The 21748-nt window shown below is 34.9% G+C and overlaps 1 protein-coding gene across 23 annotated transcripts in view, besides 2 other annotated features; it reads left to right on the top strand.

Annotated features, from left to right (window-relative positions):
- The window catches only part of TMEM161B (transmembrane protein 161B), an 83276-nt gene extending 62887 nt beyond the window's left edge, over positions 1 to 20389 (top strand). For 15 of the 23 annotated variants that reach the window (XM_047416812.1, XM_024454375.2, NM_001349405.2 and 12 more), the window contains 5 exons: positions 5 to 145; positions 2884 to 2997; positions 6809 to 6983; positions 8194 to 8290; positions 9471 to 10912. In XM_047416812.1, coding sequence (XP_047272768.1) covers positions 5 to 145; positions 2884 to 2997; positions 6809 to 6983; positions 8194 to 8290; positions 9471 to 9748 — 805 coding nt within the window. In that variant the 3' untranslated portion in view covers positions 9749 to 10912. Of the gene's footprint in view, positions 1 to 4; positions 206 to 2883; positions 2998 to 6808; positions 6984 to 8193; positions 8291 to 9470; positions 10913 to 15697; positions 16327 to 16425 lie in introns of those variants that run through there. The other 8 variants (XM_024454378.2, XM_006714553.2, XM_024454376.2 and 5 more) reach the window with 6 other exon arrangements.
- Positions 15659 to 16858: an enhancer, noted in NCBI's record as "CDK7 strongly-dependent group 2 enhancer chr5:87484918-87486117 (GRCh37/hg19 assembly coordinates)". NCBI's record gives its function as "activates an origin of replication core promoter dependent on BRD2, BRD4, P300/CBP, MED14 and CDK7 cofactors, with strong dependence on CDK7, by STARR-seq in HCT116 cells {active_cell/tissue: HCT116}" and the evidence as "EXISTENCE:reporter gene assay evidence [ECO:0000049][PMID:35650434]".
- Positions 16891 to 17091: a silencer, noted in NCBI's record as "peak5334 fragment used in MPRA reporter construct". NCBI's record gives its function as "represses an SCP1 promoter by STARR-seq MPRAs in K562 erythroleukemia cells {active_cell/tissue: K562}" and the evidence as "EXISTENCE:reporter gene assay evidence [ECO:0000049][PMID:32103011]".
- Positions 20390 to 21748: the final 1359 nt, after the last annotated feature.

The following is a 21748-nucleotide window of genomic DNA, read 5'->3' as shown; positions in this document are numbered from 1 at the left end:
TTAGGAGTCCTGTTTCAAAACTTACTTTCAAATTTTTCCTGGCTATTTTCTGTTCATTCATTGGGGCTTTTTTGACATTTCCTGGATTACGACTGGCTCAAATGCATCTGGATGCCCTGAATTTGGCAACAGAAAAAATTACACAGTAAGCGGAAAATGTACATAAGCACATGCAGATAAATATATGTTTTCCATCTTAATGAAGGTATAATATTGTAATGTAATCATAAATTATTGTATTGAAAATTAATAACCATTTGATGTCACACTACTTCCTCTTTCAACTATAAGCAAGTTTCTTTTATTTGCTTCTAAATTTTAAGTCTTGTATTTAAAAAGATACATCATCGATTACTAAATTTGTCTTACCTGTTAAAATGAAAATCTCAAAATTTATGTTATTTCTAATTCAGGGGCTTATACTGCAATCTCTACAACTAAACTGAGGATCCATAGAAATTTCCCTTAAAAAATAAGATCATTTTACTTTAAAATATTGTTTTAAATTTTCATATATATCTATTTAAATTAACTTTTTAATGTAAAATTTTACTTAAAAACATTTTAAAACTTAAAGTTGTATGTAAGAGGTGTTTGTTTTCCTTAAGTTACTGACCTGCTTATTAGACTCTTATTAAAATAATACATTATTTTGGGATTGTTAGTACTCTACAATGTTATATGTTGTACATTACTTCTAACTACCAAATTCTATTTTAGTTCTGAAGTTATATGTTAGTTTGGACAAGTCACATTTCATCTTCATATGTAGTTCAAAGCCCATTTACTATATTCTTTGTGCTTGTCACAGATTTTTTTTTGTTGATGTAGACATCTTGGCAGAAAGATAGGCTTATATCTACTTCAAATCATATGCAGATCAAAGTTCCTGTCTCATCGTTTTGTTTTGCAGTAGAAGCCCAACTTGAGAATATTTCATTTTGATATGTGTATTTATAACCATTAAGTTTATCTGGGTAATCTTATTTCCTAACATTTCTATTCTTTAAAACCTATTTTTAATGATGCTGATTCTTTAGTCTTTTCACATTCTTGTCTCTCTTACCTGTCATTTCCCTTTAATTTAATTTTGACTGTCTTTTTTTTTTAACCTCACTTCCATTTTTCTACATAAGCTTTGTACATGTGTTTACTTACTATCGCCTCCCACTACACACTCCTTCATCCCTCTTCTTTTTTTTTTCTCCTTTTACTCAGTGTGCTTTTGGCTGCATCCCGTCTTTCTCCCACCACCCGTCTCCCTAATGGCTTCTTTTAAGACAAAACCTGGTTCTCCCCCTCCTCTCTGCACACACACTTCAGTCCACTAACCCCAGTGTTATGATTTAAATAAGCTGAAAAGGGTGGGTGGAGGGGAGCCCTTCACAAGCTACTGAAACCGCTGTGGGCTGCTCCTTGATACTAGAGTGTTCCCTAGCAACACTGCATACCTAATACTGCTGCTTTCTTCCCCACATCCGATGGTTTACCCAGTCTGTGGGATGAAAGAATCACTTTATAAAAACATTTAAAGCATTTGGTGGTGGTTGGAGGTGGAGTGCACATTTTAGTGTCCTTTTTAGTAAAATGTGGCTTCATTTTAAGATTTTTTCCCTTGGGGGATTTGGGGTTTTATTTTATTTTCAGTTTATTGCAGCCCCTCATTGTGTTGTAGCACTCTGCCTTGATACAAGGGTGTGGGCAAGCTAGTTCTGTTGTGAGAGTAACATGACTGGCACAAAGAGCAGCATTCTCTTCACCCCCATGGCTAGGCACTAGGATGTGTTTTTATATCAGAGGTTAGAGCGGGAGTTCTGCCTTTCCCTGTTAGGTGTTTGTGGCTTCCTGACCCAGCCCTGTTCACTCACACAGATCACTGTCTGCCTATGTAGTGATACTTTAAAATGTGGTGTTTGTGTGTATTTTGAACCCTCCAGTTTAGCTCTTAAGTGTGGTTGATAATGAAAGCAGTTTATGGTAATAAAATGGGTGAAGAATTTGCGTTTTTTCTAAAATAAGAAAAATTTTTATCAGCCATCTATCTCTGTAGGATACAAACTTGGACAATTAACAATGAAGTTATAGCGCAGACCTGAAACCTTTGCTGTATTAGGTATATTGCCTTGTCAGGAGTAATGCAAATTATATATATATATATATATATATATATATATATATATATATATATATATATATATATATATATATGATAGGGAAATTATTTCAAGTGTGTTCATACTCATTCAAAAAGAAATTAAAATGTGGAATCACTTAACGATTGTTAACAATGGAAGTTAAAAATTATAAATGATCATTACACGTTAAAAGGTTCCTCAGTTGCGGGTTGTTGCAGTAGGTTCCGTCTGCCATATGCCTTCTAGTAATATGGACCTGGCTAATCACTATCATTTACTTGTAGATAATGAGGAGACACTTTGTTTCAGTTGCCCTAGAAAGTATCAGACGACTCTTCTGTACTGAAAATCCATTAGATTCGTTGACTATATAAAGTTAGAATCATTAAATACCTGCTTATTAAATCAGGAATAAAGTATGAGATTATTAAAGAATACTAGAATAGAAGTGAACAAATCTGAATTTTAGTCCTATATTTACATTAACTTATTGCCAAGAGCAAGTCATTTAACTTTTCTGTATCTAAATGTTCTCATTTGAAAAATTAAGATAATGATATAATTTCTCACAGGCTCAAATCAGTGTTAAATCATAATGATAAATATAAAATGATGGTGACAGTAGTATCGTAAGTAGTAGAATACTGCAAATAAGCTCCTACCTCCATTTTAGTAAGACCCCAGCTTCTGTAGTTTATTAGCACGTGCTGTTTCTGAATTTTTATATTTATTTCTTACGTACTTTCAGAACTTTACTTCATATCAACTTCTTGGCACCTTTATTTATGGTTCTGCTCTGGGTAAAACCAATCACCAAAGACTACATTATGAACCCACCACTGGGCAAAGAAAGTATCCCTTTGTAAGTATGGGCATTTGAGGGCTGATTTTTATCACCAAAACTGCTTTACTAAATGTTATTTACTGTATTTCGTTTTCAGTGATAAAATCAGGACACTGTATTTTTCAGACATTAATAGGAATGCTAAAAGATGTGTTAGAAAATTGAAACTACAGACCATCATGTAACATTTTTGTGATCTTTATTAGTTAATGTTAATGATTATTACCTTGCACTAATATTACCTTACACACTATTTTTTTCCTCCTCTTTATGTCCAGTCGTCATCATTTTTCTGTTGTCATTGTGGCTATTGTTCAGATACCTTCTGGAGTTCTTTTGTTTTAATTTTGAAAATTATGGAGGAAAAAAGTATAAATGGAAACTCATATACTCAACTCCTATGTTTGACAGTTGTTAACATTTTCCATATTTGCTTCATCCATTCTTTGTTTTGTTTTTTGATGAAGGATTTTTGAAGTAAATTAGAGACATAACAGTTTTATCCCTTAGTACTTTCTTTAGTTTGCACCTCTAAAAAAAATAAGGATATTTTCCTATATAACAATAACATCATCGTACCTAACAGTTATCTAATACTAATACCTTAATATTATTATCTAATACTAGTTTATATTTCTACAGTTAGGCAACTGTATTTTAGCAGAAGAAGATGGTGAGGAAACAAACAGTTTATTAATAGGCATTAATAACTAGACTTGATCTGTTAGCCTTGTAGAACTGTTAGAGTAATAGAAAGTTTCAGACAGAACTGGTTCAAACTCCAGCTCTCCTCCTCACTAAAATCTTCATTTGAGGCAGGTTATTTAACTTCACTGAGCCTCTGTTTCCCCATCTGGAAGATGAAGATAATAGTATCTAACTCACAAGGTTATCATTGGAATAAATGAAAGAACACATGTAATGCAACCAGCTGGAATTAAGTGCTTAATAAATGTTCTTTTCACTGCTTTGCCTCATCAGAATTAAAATAGAAATACTTGACTAGTCATTGACTCCGCAGTGTACCTTTTGTATTGTGTCCTTCTTTTAGATCCTGGTACCAGTTTGTCTTGGAATATATATAAAATCAGTGATGACCATGATAATTTCTCTTTTTAGAGTTAATCCTATTGAACCCAGGAAATAGCCACTGAAAAAGTAATGCTTCCCCGCCGCCGACACACACTAATTACCTTAATGGTAATTTAACTTGACAGATTCCCTAAGTATTGAAAAGTAATTCTAAGGATCTAAGGTTCTAGAAAAGTCTCAGAGAAACTACTAATTCATATCTTTGATACTGAAAGCATTCCCAATCCTTCCTTGAGATTTTGGTCATGGAAACTGGATTTCATACTCCTGTAACTATGTTCCCTGATTTTTATATTTGCCTTAGTTAAATTGAGAAAATAAGGAAACTAGCATTTATAAAACACTTATATACCAGTTATTATGTGAGATATTCATACTTTACATATTGTATCTTCTTATGGTAATTGTCCATTTGTTGCTGTTGTCATCCTATTTTATACATGAAATAACAGGCTCAGAGGTTAAATAATTTGACTAAGGTTATTCAGCCAGATCGCGTGTACATAAAACACTTGGTAGTTATACCAACATTCACTTCCCACTTCCAGTCTGATTAAACTTCATGTGGATTTATTAGTAATGAATACTTTATTTAATAGAAATGGGAATAAGGAACTTTTCCCTTGTGTGTATATTAAATTATAGGAAAAATATTGTTTGTATATAAAGACCTGAGGTTCTCTTTCTATAGCTTTTTCCCCCCTTTGTCCCATCCCCATTTCTGACCTGTTTCATAAGCATTCCAAGCAAAATTATAGTTTTACCTCTGCTCTCTTTTATTCTTCTTTAATTTGAATTCGTGGTTAAGTTATTAGAGGCAGTTTTTAATTTTTGTTAAAAATCTAAAATGCATGTGATAGATTGTGAAAAAATGGCTGCCCATCAAAGAGGGTAGGATGAAGGAAAAATAAAGTGACAGGTTCTTCTTCTGTCACAGACAAATTGGTTTGTGGAAAGGTCTTTGTAATCAGAAGCAAAAATATGGTATAATGTAGTTTCAACCCAGAAATGTGTTTGAGTCCATCATGTGTTCTGATAAAGCATTGAAAAAAATAAAATATGGTAAACAGAGTCCATGTGTGCTCATAATCTCCTAAGAAGAACACAGCATATACAGGAAAGCTCAGAATGGCATCAGGAATTTAAGGTGGTTTCTTCTGCCTGTTCTTTCCCTATATACTTTAAGCTCCTCCTCATGCTCCTTCTTGAGATACTCTATCAGATCAACTTCTTCAGATATTTATGATGGTATGGAATAATCTAATTAGAAAGTACTATTTAATGACTATTATCCTAAATCCTCAACTCATAAACTGAACAAATAATTTTCTAGTTCACTACCTTATTCTGTTCCTTTCATTCACGTTACCTGTTATCCTCAAAGGCTGTGAAATAGCTGTCTTCAGGCTGCTCCCAGTTAGTTGTCCTTGTTGCACAACTGGAGGGAGCACAGTATTGTTTATAGGTCCCCAGGAAAGGGTCAAGGCTGTGGGTAGGCTTGTGTCTTACGTACTGTTACTCTCACATGATGGCTCCTAAATCTCATTGTTCATTGTAGTGGAAACATGTTGATAAAATGTTATGCCTTTATCTTTCTTAGCCAACATTGCTTTTCCATTGAAATTTTATGTCCATGTCCCCTCATGACTTAATAAAAAGAAATGAGAGAGTATATATAGTAAAGCCTTTGTCCCATCCCCATTTCTTACCTCCATTTCATAAACAGTTCGAGCAAAATTTTACACTTCAAATTTTCCTATATTGTAGTTTTAGTTATGAGGGTTTTTTTTTTAATCTTTTCTCATTTGTTCTTTATATGCATCCATTCTACCGTCATGTTCTTAAGAATTTCAGGGAGACCCTTCTGAGTTCCAGGTTTTATCTGGCAAATGAGTCTGTGCATTACAATAGTCATTTTAAGTGCCTGATAGGTACTAGATATAAGACTAGATGCCAAGGGTGGTCTAGTCACTACATTCAAATTACTTGCAATGTAGTTCTTCATCAGAGCAGAAACCCATGGTCTTTTAAAAACATTAAACACCAAAAGGACATCAGAAGTTATCTCTTCTTTCTAAAAATTCTTTAAGCAGCCCTCATCAGTGGTCTGGTTTCTGAAATGGTGTCCTTCCGTTATGTATTTTCACCTGGAATCTTAACCTTAACCTTGAGGAATTGCTCAGAACCGAGCCAGCTTCAACGCATAGCAAGTTAAATGAATTGTTGTAGAGGAATCTCAGGCACCTGATTTCTTCATGATATATCAGAATTTTTGATTTTCCAGTGGTCCCAAGTAAAAGCTCAGCAGATTGAAAGATCCCATCCAAGTAGGTATATGATCAGGCAAAGCTGTAACCAGTGATGCTGGGTGATTGACTTGATTAGTCCCACAGGCAATCCCTGCAGTTTTCTTTCTTTCCCCAACTTGTCTTTTCATGTCACAGCCAGTTTTTATCCATGGAGGAGGGTATATAGAGAAAAGGATCTCATGTATTGCTCTACTTTTTTCTTCTAGATACCTGTTAACTTCTTACGCTTTCATGATACATTTATCTAGTTCTGTTATTCAAGTTAAAGTATTATACAGTTAAGTCTATGGCAGAGTCAGATTCTTTTATGTGTCTAACTGTTGCGAAGTATAGACTTCTTATATCTTATATGGTGACCATTAACATATAACGAGCATGCTAGCATATTGTTGTCTTTGAGAGCACCGTATCAACTTTTTGATCTGTAGAATGACAGAAGCCACATTCGATACTCTGCGACTCTGGTTAATAATCCTGCTGTGTGCTTTGCGGTTGGCCATGATGCGTAGTCACCTGCAAGCTTATTTAAATTTAGCCCAAAAATGTGTGGATCAGATGAAGAAAGAAGCGGGGCGAATAAGCACGGTTGAGCTACAGAAAATGGTAAGTTTTATACCCTAGTCAAAATGAAAAATAGCAAAAACCGCACTGTAAAAAAAAAAAAAAATTGGTTTCCTTTAGTAGATAGTATTTCAACCCATCATATTCTTATTATAAATAAACAGAACAATCTTAAGTTGACAGATATCAAAGAGACCTTGATCTGATTTTGGTGCCAAGTGAGGTCTTAATTCCTCTTCCTGCCTTAAGTGCTTGGTGTCATACAGTGGGTGGTACAAAGCTGTTTTATGCCTAATATTGCTAAATGGGACCCTTCTAATTGATTTGAAAGACATTATAACATATTGTCCAGACTTTAAGACTTAAAGAGTAGGAAATACTACTTTTAGTGGCTAAATTTATTCATTTTAATATTACTCAATTTACTTGAACATGAAATGTAAGTATTTAATTTATTTGAGGCTTCCAGAGAATAAAAGGACAAGGAATCCATCTGCCACTATAGTGGACCAATAACCTCATTCTTTTTTTAAGAGAGGTGGTTTTTGGCTACCTTGCTTTATTATTATTATTGTTATTTTATTTTTTGTAGAGACAGGGTCTCTCTGTGTAGCCCAGGCTTGTCTTGAACTCCTGGGCTCAAGTAATCCTCCTGCATCACCTCCCAAAGTATTGGGATTACAGGCGTGAGTCACCACGCCCAACCAGCTTCAGTTTTTGATTCACCTCCATAGTTAGGGGCATTTATTAAGATTTAAACAACTTTTTTCTGTTTTACCTTTTATATATTTTTATATTTTCCATAGTTTGACTTCAAATATGTTCATGTAGAATGGGGACTTAATGTTTTTATTTATGAGGGATTTATGCTCATATGTGGCTCTGCCTACTATTGTTATTTAGTTGGATATTTTAGGTAGATGCCCTTACATTGTGTTTTATCTTTGAAATATAAGTAAATATATACCATTTGAATCTTAGTCATTATTTTCTCCAATATATATACATCATTTAAGAATTATTTTTAAGGAATCTATTTTAATATTCTCACGTTCTAAAAACTTGTCTTCAAATTGAGCCTTTCCAAAGTCATTTTGGGGACATGTATCATGCAGCACAACTTACTGACATTTAGCTTCCTTCTTGTGAAAGGATTATCTCTTAAGTATTTTGGTATGGCAATTATATGAAAGTTTAATTCACTCCTAACATGTCAGTTGCATTAGACACTTAAGAATGTTGTTGGTTGCAGGTGGCTCGAGTCTTTTATTATCTTTGTGTCATTGCACTGCAGTATGTGGCGCCTCTGGTAATGCTGCTTCACACAACTCTGCTTTTGAAAACACTAGGTAGGCATGCCCTGGCAACTAGGAAGCATCTTTTACTTTCTACCTATAATTAATAAAGCTTTTTGTCACCAACAAAGAAATGCAACTCTTAAAATTGTTTCTCTTTTTAAAAGTTGTAAAAAGAACCATGGGAAAGTTTTAGCTGTGGAAGGTGATTTATCATCTTCATTTTGAAAACTCAGGCCCATGGTTTTATAACTTTATGCTTTGTCTTCAAGAATTGTTTACTAAAGGTTAAGTCTCAGATTTACCCAGTAACTTTAGTAAGCACTGTTGATCTTAGTTACTTTCATGTTATAAGAGGATGATTTAAGGTTTTGTTATTGCCTAACATTTAAATTATTACAAGGCAATTATAAACTTACATAAATTACAGAATGCTATGGTAAGTTCTAGTTTAGATAACTTACATCGAAACGGTGAAGATTTCTCAGTACAAAATTCTACAAGTCTCTTCACTAAGCTATCAAGTCCCCATGTGGTGGTGTTATTCAAGAGGTGTCTATTATTGCATTGATCATTTCCCCTTTCTTAGATCAGGCAATCAGCCACTGTTAGGGTTTAAGAAACCTGAAAGAACTAAAAGCATTATTTAGCTTCATGGACCTAGTAGGTGTCATAGACTTGATGATAGGTATAGGTGCCCTGTAAGAATCTACGGAATGTAAAGGGATAGGTAGTTCAATTGTAAATTAAGTGGCTCATATCCTATCCACTGTAGGAAAGTATATGATGAAATAAATTTTTGGAAGCTATTAATAGGTTTTCACATTGAAATCATAGTTTCTGAGAAAGGAATTTATTTTGATATTCTAGAAGTAGAAAAGATTTCTCAGAAGTTATTGAATCTGTCCTTGTCACTCCAGTAGAGTTAGCTGATTAATTTCTTATACAATGAGGAAATTGTTTTGTTATTTTACCAATTTTTAGTGCAGTTAATTAAAAATATATCAGACTTTTTGCTTTAATGTGTACCTTTACTGATGAGGCCAGATAGTCTCTAGTCAGGTTAATTTTTTACAGATCTAGAAGGATTATTATTTTACTTTATTTTTAACATAAAATGATGTACTGTGCCACTAAACATATTGTTAATTTCAAATATAGGAAGATTTTTTTTTAATAAAAAGCTTGGTAATTAGTTACTCTTCAAATTGTATTTGTGTCTTTGATTTTCTAGGTAATCATTCCTGGGGTATTTATCCAGAATCTATCTCTACCTTACCAGTGGATAATAGTCTACTGTCCAATTCTGTTTACTCTGAATTACCATCAGCTGAAGGGAAAATGAAGGTAACTGTTACACAAATAACAGTGGCACTGAGCAGCTTAAAAAATATTTTTACTCCTCTTCTTTTTCGAGGACTTCTGTCTTTTCTGACCTGGTGGATTGCTGCTTGCCTCTTTTCTACAAGCCTTTTTGGGCTTTTCTATCACCAGTATCTGACTGTGGCATGAATCTCAGTTAACAAAAAAGCATATCCAAATCACCCTTTAAATTAAAATATCTGTGCCCTTAAAGGGCTGATGAAAACCAGAAGAAAGCAAATACAATGGGAAAAAAAAAACATATCAGAATGTCTTGTATTAAATGTTTCCTCTGTATTCTCAGGGTGAATTAATGTAGTAATATTTAAAATTACAAAATAGATTGTTAACTGTTACACTGTGGCATTGGAATTTTAACTCTTTGTATTTACTGGTATGAGAGGGCTATCTACAAGGGTAATATTTCTGATTACCCTGGTTTACAGAAACCTCCAGCAGTCTTTGAAACATCTCACATGACTCTAGTTATTGATTGCTTTTAATGGTTTTATGGTACTGTTGATAGTCATAGTGGCTGCCTATAGAACAATCTTCAAACTGAGCCATGCTTTAGGGGAGGGAAAGGGGCTAAAGTCTCTTCTGTTGGTAATTTATTAGTTACTCTTGAAACAATAAAATCCAACAGAAAGGAAGAGATAGCTACTGTATATTACAGTAAAGAAAGCTGCATAGTTATTTTAAATTTAATGGAGATGAATATGGTTAAAATATATAACTACTGCTGCTTGAGAATAGCAAGAGTATTGTTTTAAAACATATTCCACCCAACTTGAGAGTTCTTTTAAAATGATTGGCCATATGAACATTTGTAATCTTGCCATTAGGTTTGGACCTGCCATATTTTGTTTTATTCTGTGATCCTAACTAGTTCCTTTTAATAGGCTAAAATATTTATCAATACTGATCAGACTTTAAAGAAATTACTTTGTAAACCTGCTGACTACCTGTATGTATTGTATATATATTATATATTAAATATATAATATATTGAGATTATAAAAGATGAAAATATTGAATCCTTATAATATTTTAAGTTGCAGAATGTATGTTAAAAAGTGACTTGAATGAGATGTATTTGTATCTAGAAATTTTATTTCTTTTTGGAATGAGATTAAAATACATTTTGAAAGTTCAGCAGAGTAAGCAATTTATTTGTGTTGCCTATGTGTGAGTGTATTTAAAGTTTTATGGACGCTTAATGGTTTCTCCCAAATTAAAATTCTTTTTCTGTCATTTCCAAAAATCAGAATCTTTCCCTCTCAAATCAGGTCTACAGGTATCATGTATGCCTTTGTTAAATAGGACTTGTTTTAAATTTGTAGTTTCTAGAATTAGAAATATTTTTGTTTTACTGGCCAAAACGGATAATTTGAATGAAACATTCAAGGGAAATGAAAAAAAGTAAAACTCTTTTTGATGCCTTTTACATCTAAAGTTCAAAATGAAGGGTCAAGATTGTAAAATGTGTAAGAGATAAAGGTAGTTTTTTTGTCTTTTCAAATAAATGAATACATGCTTTTCCATATAACTCTTAAGAGGCTGTCTTTATGTTTCAGTGCTGTTAACACTGTTGAAAGCAAGTTTGAAACTCTTCTTTTGGAATAACTTTCAGGGCTTTTAAGGTTCACAGTCATCTGAAAATTTTAATATAGCAAATTCCTGTCTTTGGGTGTAGATTTAAATATTTTGGAAATAGCCATGTTTTAAAAGGAAAGGAATGCTTATACACTGCTGAGGATGTAAATTACTTCCAGTCCTATGGAAAACAGTATGGAGATTCCTCAAAGAACTAAAAATAGAACTACCACTTGACTGAGCAGTTTCATCATTAGGTATCAATCCAAATGAAAGGCAATCATTGTATCAAAAAGAGACCTGCACTCATCTGTTATTGAAGCAGTATTCACAGTGGCAAAGTCATGGGGTCAACCTAAGTGGCCATCAGTGGTTGATTGGATAAAGAAAATGTGGTATGTATACACCATAGAATACCATGCAGCCGTAAAAAAAGAATGAAACTATGTTCTTTGAAGCAACATGGATGAAACTGGAGGCCATTATCCTAAGTGAACTAACTCAGAAACAGAAAATGAAATACCAGATGTTCTTTTATAAGCGGGAGCTGAACAATGAGTACTCATGGAAATAAAAATGGAAACAGTAGACACTAGGGATTCCAAAAGAGGGGAAGTGGGAAGGAAATGAGGGTTGAAACACTACCTGTTGCATACTATGTTCACTATTTGATTGATGGGTTCACTGGAAGTCCAAACCTCAGCATTGTGCAATACACCCATATAGCAAACCGGCACATGTATGCCCTGAAACTAAAATAAAACATGTAAAAAGTTGAGTAGTAAGTACTTAAACTGGATAAAACTGACTGAAATGAATTGTGAATATATCCTAATGACGCTTCATGTGTATTTCCAAAGGAAGCATTTCAAATATATTTTGAGATATATCAGCGTCATCAAAATGTGTTTGTTTTATAATAAGATGATACCAAAATTTCACATTTGTTTTGTATCTGAAAATTCTCACATGTTGGACTAGGGAAGAATCTCACCTGGTATTTATAATCATTCTTACCAAAGAGCTACATTTTAAAAAGTAAAATTGAAGTTATTATTTTAAGTTTCAAAGATTGTACAGTGCAGTAATATGGTGTAAAAGACATAGAATTCATTATTGGATGGAATAATGTATATTCCTAAAGTTCTGTTAATTCATTCTTTTTAAACTTAAACTCTAAGTATACTCTGGCTTGAGCAAACCAAGTATTTTAAGTAACAGGTTTGGTTTAGTTTTTTTAGCCTTTCAAAGCAAATTTGAACTAATTGGTTTATTTATGCATTTTGTCTTTGAACCAAGAGTTATGTTCTTCAAATACAAAAGAGTTTGTACTTTATGTAAACCAAGTAATATTTTAATATCCCCAAATTAGACCAGTATAGTTCTTTTATTTTGTATGTTATACTTTAGTCAATATAATATGCTTCAAAGCATATATAAAGTTATTTTTATTGTATGTGTTTGCCCTTATAATCTTGGTTTTGTATGATTAGTAGGATTGCGACAATTTATTGGTTCCTGTCTTTCCGACTACCCCACTTGCTAGCCATTGCACTATAAAATCAGAGCTGTATTCTTCCTCCTACCCCCATTGATTTGTCTGAAATGAAAAGCATATAATTTTATCTTAATATCCATGTGCATTTTTATTATATCAGTATTTTTCCCAGAATCCCAATTGATGTGCGTAAAATGACCAATGCATACAAGCAGAATGGGCTCATTGTCTTATTGTTTCTGATATAAATATCATTGGTAAAATAGTGGCATTTCTTCCTCAGTTATGATTCAGAAGAGATATTCATCCATTAATGGAATTGACAGGTCCAGGAAGCAATAAATAGAATTCATTATGAAATCTATAATTGGAACTTCACTGGATAGATATTATTCTTTCAAATGAAAGATTGAATTCTCAGTATTTTGAAGCCTAAGGTCTCAACATTCTCTGAATTCATATACAGTTTCTGAGCCATCACTTAATTGAAGATGTTCTATCAAGGTATATGGCTTTATTCAACAAAATAAAACTAAGTGATTTTTAAATGCAGATCATCCTGTGTCTTTGCAAAGATTTAGGTGTCTTAAGGAATCAGATTTAAACACACTAGTGATACTAGAGCTTGAACCCAGTGTCTCGAATACTTGTACCATCTCATCTTTTAACTCCTATCCATCTTATTATGTTCATACCTTGGGTTTAGAGCTGAGCTCGTTATGTGCCATGAAGACTCTGACATGGACACCAAGGATGGTCAAAAAGCTAATGTCTTGCTTGATGATATCTTGGGATTAAAATAAAAGCTAATGTCAACCTTTTCCTTTTTTAAAGTGGTAAACATTTTCACATATTTTTGTTTTGTTCCTAAGGTGGGGAACAAAAACAGGTAGAGCCTTTTTACATATATGTCTTCTGTTACCATGGGACTCCTTTTTTAGCTATGAACTATTCATGATGGACAGGCCTATTTTTAATGGATCAGAGTGTGTATTTTTCCATCCTATTGTTTTTTGTTTTGTTTTCTTTTGTTTTCCTCCCACCACTCCCTGCATGTGGTTACTGTTCTTTCTCCCGTTTGGGGAAAGACAATTTATTTTCTTAAATAAAGTAGTATCATAGTTTCGTAGGCAGAATGCTAATCTAAGAATCAGAAAACATCTCATCCCATTTCTGTCTATAGTTTTTTTTTTTTTTGCATCTTTAAAATGAATTTACATTAAATGTGTGGCTATATACATATATATATATATATATATATATATATATATATATATATATATACACTTTTTTTTTTTTTTTTTTTTTTTGAGACAGAGTCTTGCTCTGTCGCCCAGGCTGGAGTGCAGTGGCGCGGTCTCGGCTCACTGCAAGCTCCGCCTCCCGGGTTCACGCCATTCTCCTGCCTCAGCCTCCTGAGTAACTGGGACTACAGGCGCCCGCCACCATGACCAGCTAATTTTTCGTATTTTTAATAGAGACGGGGTTTCACAGTGTTAGCCAGGATGGTCTCGATCTCCTGACCTCGTGATCCACCTGCCTCGGCCTCCCAAAGTGCTGGGATTACAGGCGTGGGCCACCGCGCCTGGCCGGCTATGTATTTCTAAATCTGATAACTGATTTCTCTGTGTTATGAGAAAAACATACAGCTATGTTTGATTTTAGGAATGGTTACAGATCATGTTGGAGGGCATTCATTTATTGTTATTTGAAAATGACTTCACAAAGAGTGTTTTCTCTGGAATAATTTGGTTTGTACCCATTTGGTTATTTTTCAGTAAATACATGTTGAGTGCCTGTAATGTGCCATAGGCTGTTCCACACACCCTAGCTACAGCAATGAACAAAACAGCAAAATCTCTTCCCTCCAAGAGCTTAGCATCTAGTGGAGAGAATGCAGACAATAAATTAAGATGAAGAGTCTAATATAGGATATCTGGATGTGTATTGTTGTTGAGCTGGTGTCCCTGTTGGGGGAAGGAGGGTCTAGGACTTCCTCTTCTGCTATCTTGCTGACATCATTTTCCGTTTGGAATTACATCTTTAATATGTTAAAAGAAAATAGCTACTAATGTAGGATTCCATGGCTTTTAATAGAAAGACTTTAAAAAGAAAAACTAAGGAGATTTGTGGTCAGGATGAAGGGCAATAATCATAGATGAAGACATGGAAATGGACAAGGAAGACATTATAAATATTTAAGCAAATGGACAAAAAACAATTATTGAATGCCTGTGTTATTTTAAAATTCAGCATATTTAAAGTTCACAATAACAATGGAAAAGGAAAGGATAAATGAGGTTAAAACAATATGTTTTTAGCAGTATCATGAAAGTGTGAATGTAATTTGTATTGTAATAAAAGAATAATGTACACTGTAATCTCTAAGATAATCCATAAAAGAATCTATAACAAGTAAATAAAAGAAGGAAATGGAATAATATTAATTTAAAAGATGAAAACAAACCAGATGGGACTGAAATCAAAAGTAGTGGAAATGAATGCAACTATATCAGAAATTAGATTAAACATAAACAGAAAAGACATAGAATATCAACAAGAAATCTTGCAGTTAGAAGCAGTATGGAAACTCCACAAGGTGGCAGTTATGCATTGCAAAGGACACCAGCGAGCTTCCACCTTGGTGGGTTTGGGGAATTCCCGCACTGACTCAGAGTCTCCAAAAGCAGCATCTGCCCCTTTGCGGGCATCAGTCACAGCCCCTCTGCTCCCTCAAGCACCTGATCTTGTACCTACTTATTCTAAAGAAGAAAAGGACTTTCTCCAGGTAGAGGGAGGACAAGTGATGGAGGAAGGATGCATTCGGTTACTAGATGGGAGAGTAGCTGTGCCACAGCTGCTAGGAGCTGCAATTGTACTGGCTGTGCATGAAACCACCCATCTAGGTCAGGAGTCACTTGGAAAGTTGTTAGGCCAGTATTTCTACATCTCGCATTTGTCAGCCTTTGCCAAAACTGACACAGCGGTGTGTTACCTGCCGACAGCATAATGCAAGGCAAGGTCCAGCCGTTCCACCCGGCATGCAAGCTTATGGAGCAGCCCCCTTTGAAGATCTCCAGCTAGACTTCACAGAGATGCCAAAGTGTGGAGGTAACAAGTATTTACTAGTTCTTGTGTGTACCTTCTCTGGGTGGGTGGAGGCTTATCCAACACGAACTGAGAAAGCTTGTGAAATAACCCATGTGCTTCTTTGAGATCTTATTCCTAGATTTGGACTGCCCTTACGGATCGGCTCAGATAATGGGCTGGCGTTTGTGGCTGACTTGGTACAGAAGACGGCAAAGGTACTGGGGATCACATGGAAACTGCATGCTGCCTACTGGCCTCAGAGTTCCGGAAAGGTGGAGCGGATGAATCAGACTATCAAAAATAGTTTAGGGAAAGTATGTCAGGAAAAAGGATTAAAATGGATACAGGCTCTCCCTATGGTATTATTTAAAATTAGATGTACCCCTTCTAAAAGAGCAGGATATTCCCCTTATAAAATACTATATCATAGGCCCCCTCCCATATTGTGGGGACTTCCAGGCACTCCCCAAGAGTTAGGTGAAATTGAGTTACAGCGACAGCTACAGGCTTTAGGAAAAATTACACAATCTCAGCCTGGGTAAATGAGAGATGCCCTGTTAGCTTATTCTCCCCAGTTCACCCTTTCTCCCCAGGTGATTGAGTGTGGATCAAGGACTGGAACGTAGCCTCTTTGTGCCCACAGTGGAAAGGACCCCAGATTGTCGTCCTGACCACTCCCACCGCTGTGAAGGTAGAGGGAATCCCAGCCTGGATCCACCACAGCCATGTAAAACCTGCAGCACCTGAAACCTAGAAGGCAAGACCAAGCCTGGACAACCCTTGCAGAGTGACCCTGAAGAAGACAAGCCCTGCTCCAGTCACACCCGGAAGCTGACTGGTCCACGCATAGCCGAAGCATGAGGAAGTTCACTGTGGAACTCATTTTTTTAAATTTTGGACTTGTACAGTAAGGACTTCAACTGACCTTCTTCAGACTGAGGTAGGGTTAAAAAAAAAAAGTTAAAATAGTCTTTTTGTTTAAAAAGGACTTGTGTGTATAATGCCACCCAGTACAAGGTATGCAGCCCAGGAAGTGACCAGACTGATGTGTGCTATAACCCATTAGAACTACTTAATCCCTGTTGGAAAACAGGAGAGTATGTAACTCTAGGAGTCAATGGAACTGGACTGGCAGGAAGACCTGGGTAGTGTAGATGAGAGTGAGAACTCCCGCTAGTGAGTGAGGTTCTCAAAGGGGGGAATGAGGAGAGAAGCCATTTCTCTTACTGTCTCCTGTCTGAAGACGAGGAGGAAGTAAAAGTTGAAAAACAAGAAGAAGGAAGTCAGTGGCAAGACCAGCCGGTGCCACTGATGACCCGGCCTGAGGTTAAAAGATTAACCACCCCCCCCAACTCTAACCACATGTGCTCTCAATCCATCAGACCCTTTCACATGGAACCCCTTAGAGCTGTAAGCCATTAAAAGGGTCAGGAGCTCTGTCTTCGGGGAGCTCAGCTCTTAAGATGCGAGTCTGCTGACGCTCCCAGCTGGATAAAAAACCTCTTCCTTCTTTAATCCAGTGTCTGAGGAGTTTTCTCTGCGGCTCGTCCTGCTACAATTCCACTTTCTTCTGCCTGCTTTATTTTATCCTTTATACTTTTTGTATCCTCAGTCCAATCAAGTTGACACTCAATATTAACCATCACAACCACATTCTGGGCCATTCAAATAAAAAATAGATTAAGAAATGTAAAAATACTGAAATTATTTGTAATGTTTTTCTGATCACCATGGAATTAAGCTAGAAATGATCAAAAAGACGACCAGGCACATTGGCTCATTCTTGTAATCGCAGCACTTTGGGAGGCTGAGACGGGTGGATCATCTGAGGTCAGGAGTTTGAAATCAGCCTGGCCAACATGGTGAAACCCTGTCCCTACTAAAAAAAAAAAAAAAATACAAAAATTAGCTGGACATGGTGGTACACACCTGTAATCCCAGATACTCAGGAGGCTGAGGCAGGAGAATCGCTTGAACCTGGGAGGCGGAGGTTGCAGTGAGCTGAGATCATGCCACTCTACTCCAGCCTGGGCAACAAGAGTGAAACCATGTCTCCAAAAAAAAAGTAAAAATACTGAAATCATTTGTAATGTTTTCTGACCACCATGGAATTAAGCTAGAAATGATAAGAAAGAGAACAAAATTTCAACTGCCTTAAGTTTAAGCATTCTATTTCTATATAGTTCATTGTTTAAAGAGCAAATAAAAAGAAACTATGAAGTATTTTGAAAGGTAAAGAACATGACATCAAATTTTGATGCTATTTAACCCATTGTAGAACAAAATTTAAAGTTTCCCATTCAAGAAGCTATAAGAGATCATCAAACCTAAGGAAAGTAGAATTAAAGGAATAATTCAGCAAAAACCAATGAAATACTACACAAATGTATAATAGAGAAAATTAAGCTAAAAACGATTGTTCCAAAAGATTAATGAAGTTGATTATATTCTTATCAAAATTGGTTCAAGGAGAAATAAAAACAGTAACCCATATCAATGCTAATTAAAAAACAGTAATCAAAATATGAGATGACTACAGACATTTAAAAAGTAAGAATACAAGCAATGAACACTTGAAAAATTAGTAATTCTTGTTACAATAGTGTCAAAAAGCAAGTTAGAAGTAGCTTTTTACCAACATGTATAAGACCTGTACACTGAACTCTACAAAATGTTAAGAGAAATTAAAGTAGACATAAGTAAATGATATGTTTCACATGAATGTATTGGAAGACTCAATGTTGTATAAATGTTATATAAATTAACACAAATGTTATATAAATTCAACACAATCCAAATAATAGTTTCACCAAATTCAAACAAAAGTTTTCTATCTGATCTTAAATTTATATGGAAATGTAAAGTACTTAGATTGTCCAAAGTATTTTGCAATGGAAAAAGTTAGAGGATTTGAAGATTTACTATAAAGTGATGTTGTGATTCTGCCATAAAGACAAACAAATGGATCAATGAAAGAGAGAGCTGAGAAATAGTCTCATACTTACACACTCATTTAATTTTTGACAAAGGTGTCAAAGCAATACAATGGGGAAAGGAGAGTCATTGCAACAACTGGTGCTAGAATAATTGGATGTCCACATTTTAAAAAAATGAACCTCAATCCCCACCTCATACTTTACACAAGAATCAATTCAAGAGCCAAATGTAAAAGCTACAACATAGTTTGGCAATTAGTGGTGGATAGAGATTTCTTAGGACACAAAGTATTAACCATAAAATTGGTTTGTTGTTGTTGTTGTTGTTGTTGTTGTTTGAGACAGAGTCTCACTTTGTTGCCCAGGCTGGAGTGCAGTGGCACAATCTCAGCTCACTGCAACCTCTGCCTCCTGGGTTCAAGCAATTCTCCTGCCTTAGCCTCCTGAGTACAGGCGTGTGGCTAATTTTTTTTTTTAGTAGAGACGTTTCACCATTTTGGCCAGGCTGGTCTCGAACTTCTGACCTCAGCTAATCCACCTGCCTTGGCCTCCCAAATTCCTGGGATTACAGGTGTGAGCCACCGCACTTGGCCCCCATAAAATGGTTTTTAATAATAAAAGATTTCATAGAAATTAAAAACTTATGCTCATCAAAAAAAGGAAATAGACATGTTAAAACTTGAAATAAAATACTTGCAAAACGAGACAAAAGACTGGAATCAGGATATATAAAGAATTAAAAAAAATAGATTAGGAAATGGGTGAGACATTTGAATAGGCACTTCACAGTTGACCATTAAGCACATGAAAAAGTGTTCAACCTCTAGCAATTCGATTATGATGATCCTTGGTATTGTTTTATGTTTCTTATTACTTGGGTTCATTCAGGTTCTTTGATCATTGGCTTTTTATTTCAGGCCACGTTAAAGGCTGACTAGTTTTTCCTCCTGAGGAAAGAGGAGAAATTTGATTGCAATGCATCGTTGGACTTTACAATTTTCTTGACATCTGTTTCTGCAAAAGAATGTGTTTAAAGGGTGTTATATTCTTAAAAGTGCCTAGGATGGCTACATAAAATGTTTAGTAAAAGCACTGCCTGTATAAATACATGTAAGACCTTTCAGTTACATACTCAGACATGTGGAGTAAACTTGATACTATTAATAGTTTTCTTTGACTCTTTATAGGTGTCGATTTTGCTTGAGAATATTGAAGGTCTTGACAGAAGTTGTGGATTTCAGTTTTAACAAATGTGTTTTAAGTGGAAGAGCATTTTCCTGGTCTTGTCCCTCCAATTTGAGAATTAGAAATGCCATGTTTATGATTATTCAGCTGTATTTGTTGCTAACTTGTAAAGCAATACAAACATTTTTTGGTCTGTTTGACTGAATTTGTCCCACAACTCATTGTTGCTCTGTTCATTTTTTTCCAGGTTTCTTTTTTCTTTCTGTGTTTCATTTTGGATAGTTTTTATTGCTATGCTATGTTTTCAATTTGTCTTTTTATTTTTGGCAGCATCCTGTCTGGTATTTAACTAATTCAGTGAAATTTTCAATCTCAGACATTTTAAAAAACCTTTAGAACTAAGTTCAAATTGAGTCTTTAAAAATACGTTTATGCTTTCCTCTACTTTCTTGAACATATAAAATATAGTTATAATAGCAGATTCAATGTTCTTGTCTACTAATTTTATCTTGTGTCTATTGAATGATTTTTCTTTTCATTGTGGGTCATGTTTTCCTGCTTCTTTGCATCACTGAAAATCGTTGACTGGATTCCAGACATTATGAGTTTTGCCTGTTGAGTACAAGGTATTTTTTTCCTTAAATAGAGTAATGTACTACATAATAACTTTTTGGTCAACAATGAACTGGGTATATAACGGTGGTCCCATAGGATTATAATGGAGTTGAAAAATTCCTATCACCTAGTGATGTCGTAGCCATCATAACATTGTAGTGCACTGCATTGCTCATGTTTGTGGTGATGCTGGCGTAAACAAACCTGCTGCACTGGCAGTCATATAAAAGCCTAGCACACAATTATACACAGCACATTATACTTAATAACAATAATAAGCTACTATGTTACTGGTTCATGTATTTGTTACACTTTTTATTATTACTTTAGAGTATAGTCCTACTTATTAGAAGAAAAAAGCAGGTCATTTAGAAGGTATTCCAGAAGAAGACATTGTTATCATGGGAGATGACAGTGCCATGCTTGTTACTGCCCCTGAAGACCTTCCAGTGGTATAAGATGTAGAGGGTAAGACAGGGATATTGAGGATTCTGATGCTGTGCAGGCCTAGGCTAATGCAGGTGTGTCTTGTTTTCTAACAAAAAGTTTAAAAAATAAAAATAAAAAGCTTTGAAAATAGTAAAAAGCATATAGAATAAGCATATAAAGGAAGTAAATATTTTTGTACAGCTCTGTGTATTTGTGTTTTAAGCTAAGCTATTACAAGAACCCAAAATTGAAAAATAAAAAGTTTATAAAGTAAAAAGTGACAGTAAGCTAAGTTTAATTAATTATTGAAGAAAGACAATATCTTTGTAAATTTAGTGTAGCCTATGTATACAGTGTCTGTAAGTCCACAGTAGTGTGCAGTAATGTCCTAGGCCTTCACTTTCCCTCATCACTCACTGATTTATCCAAAGAAACTTCCAGTCCTACAAGTTCCATTTATGGTAAGTACCCTAGACAGGTATACTATTTTTAATCTTTTATACTGTATTTTTACTATACTTTTTCTGTTTAGCTATGGTGAGATACACAAATACTTAAAATTGTGTTACAATTGCCTGCAGTATTCAGGACAGTAAGAAACTGCACAGGTTTGTAGCCTAGGAACAATAGGCTATACCATATAACATAGATGTGTAGTAGGCTGCACCATCTTGGTTTGTGTAAATCCACCCTATGATGTTTGCACAATGATTAAATTGCCTAATGACACATTTCTCAAAACCTATCTCCATCGTTAACCAGTGCATAATTGTATTCTTGAGCTTTGTGCTGGGATCCAAC

Source organism: Homo sapiens, chromosome 5 (genome assembly GCF_000001405.40).
Source record: "Homo sapiens chromosome 5, GRCh38.p14 Primary Assembly".
Taxonomy (NCBI): Eukaryota; Metazoa; Chordata; class Mammalia; order Primates; family Hominidae; genus Homo; species Homo sapiens.
Note: the sequence above shows the minus strand (reverse complement) of the source record. Positions and strands in the feature narration are given on the sequence as shown.